The following is a 2,180-nucleotide window of genomic DNA, read 5'->3' as shown; positions in this document are numbered from 1 at the left end:
AGTGTAGAAGTTCCACTTGTATTATTTTTATATGTGTCATCTCTGTCCTCATTATATTCATATTTTCCTTTAAATTTTTTTTTATTTTTTTGAGATGGAGTCTTGCTCTGTCACCCAGGCTGGAGTGCAGTGGTGCAATCTTGGTTCACTACAACCTCCGCCTCCTGGGTTCAAGCGATTCTCCTGTCTCGGCCTCCCAAGTAGCTGGGATTACAGGTGTGCACCACCATGCCCAGATAATTTTTGTATTTTTAGTAGAGACTGGGTTTCGTCATATTGACCAGGCTGGTCTTGCACTCCTGACTTCAGGTGATCCGCCTGCCTCAGCCTCCCAAAGTGCTGGGATTACAGGTGTGAGCCACTGTGCCTGGCCTCCTTTGAATTTTTGAGTATATTTTAAATAGGTGTTTGAAAGTCCTTATCTGTGAATTTCATTATTGCTGTCATTTCTTGGTCTTTTTCTATTGATTCATTTGCCCTGTACTTTTTCCTGCTTCTTCACATGCCTACTAATAATTTTATGTATACTGATTTTAGTATACAAATTTTAGGCTTTAAATGTCTGCATTTAAAAATTTCTTTTCTTTTACTTGTATTTTAATTATGTACATAAATAGCAACATGAGAATGAGGAGTTCTAAGGCTTATACGTTATCTTTAGGTGAAAGGATTTCAGATTAGTTTGGTTGTAGGACAGCATCACCCAAGATAACAGAGGCCTAGATTTTCCTGAAGAAGAATGCAAATTTAATACATTCAATACTGATTTCTCTGCCATTTTTCTGTAGAAGCCCTGGTTTATTATAAGGAGATTCCAATATTTACCTATAACTGATTAAAATGGGCAAAGCATGGCGTTTTCTACTTATTTATAGGTGAATTCTCATTTCCTGGCTTTTGAAAGTGCTCCTTCCATATATCTTCTATGACTATATATCTTTGTAAACCCCAATAATATAATCTCTCCCCACTGACCTGGGCAAACACAATAGCTTGTTGTGGGTGATAGACAGAGGCAGCTAATGCCATGAAACCAGGTGGAGCTTCTTTCTGTTTGAACCTCTAGCCAAAAGGAGTCCAACAAGGCCAGCAAAATTATAGCACCATGTCTTGGAAAAAAACCCAGAGGATACATTTTGGAGATATTCATAGCTGTCTAACCCCCACTGAACCAAACTTTGCATCTTGGGCTTAGTCTGGGAGTATGTTTCCTGACACCAACTTGTATGTGGCTCACGATAATGCTGGAGCTGAGAGATGCTTTCTTCCAGCTGGGTTCTTAACTCCTCCACGTATTTATATTGGCCCTTGGGAACTGAGTAGAATGAAAACTCATCAGCCTTCATGGGATTTTTTGGAGGTGAGTCCTTTTTTGGAGCTGCATAGACTTTGAAGGTGAGAAAGCTCAGGCTAGCTGGCCCCATGCACCTCTGAATTAACCTTGGACATGTTGCTGGCAGCAGCGGCTCCAGAAGGAAAATTTTTCTTTAAAGTGAATTTTGTTTTGAAGGTAGTTAGTTTACCTGCAGAGTATCTTTATTCTTTTGAATCTTTTTGGAAAGCTTTGTTAGGGTTGGTCTAGGGAAGCCTTTACTCTAGAGCTAGTTTAACCCTACCAGTAAAGGATTATCCTTCTGGAGTCTCTACTAAGTGCCCCAGGTGTTCAATAAGGTTTTTTTCACTTTGGTTGGTTGGAACTCAAATGTCTCCTAGTTCTGTGGGTGCTCTGGGAATTTTTCAGTTTATAGCTTCCCAGCGGTTCTTTAAAAAGCATTGTGAAGTTTCCCTTTATGAATATTCAGCCTAGTATTTAGAAACAGATGCAAGGAGACTGCTACACAGACTCCTTGAGCTCTTTTCTTTCCTTCCTTCCTCCCTTCCTTCCTCCTTTCCTTCCTCCCTTTCTCTCTCCCTTCCTTCCCCCCTCTTCCTCTTCCCTTCCTTTCTTTCTTCCTTCCTTCTTTCCTTCCTCCCTTCCTCTCTTTCTTCCTTCTACCCTTCCTCTCTTCCTTCCTTCCAGCCTTCCTCTTTTCCTTCCTTCCAGCCTTCCTCCCTTCCTCTCTTCCTTCCTTCCTCCCTTCCTTCCTTCCTATCTTCCTTCCTTCCTCCCCTCCTCTTTTCCTTCCTTCCTCCCTCCCTCTCTTCCTTACCTCTCTTCCTCCCATCCTTTCTTACTTCCT

The 2,180-nt window shown here is 41.4% G+C and overlaps 1 pseudogene; it reads right to left on the bottom strand.

Annotated features, from left to right (window-relative positions):
• Positions 589–1,476, bottom strand: APOOP3 (apolipoprotein O pseudogene 3; annotated as a pseudogene).

This window comes from Homo sapiens, chromosome 12 (assembly GCF_000001405.40).
Source record: "Homo sapiens chromosome 12, GRCh38.p14 Primary Assembly".
Lineage (NCBI taxonomy): Eukaryota > Metazoa > Chordata > Mammalia > Primates > Hominidae > Homo > Homo sapiens.
This window is presented reverse-complemented; position numbering and strand designations above follow the sequence as displayed.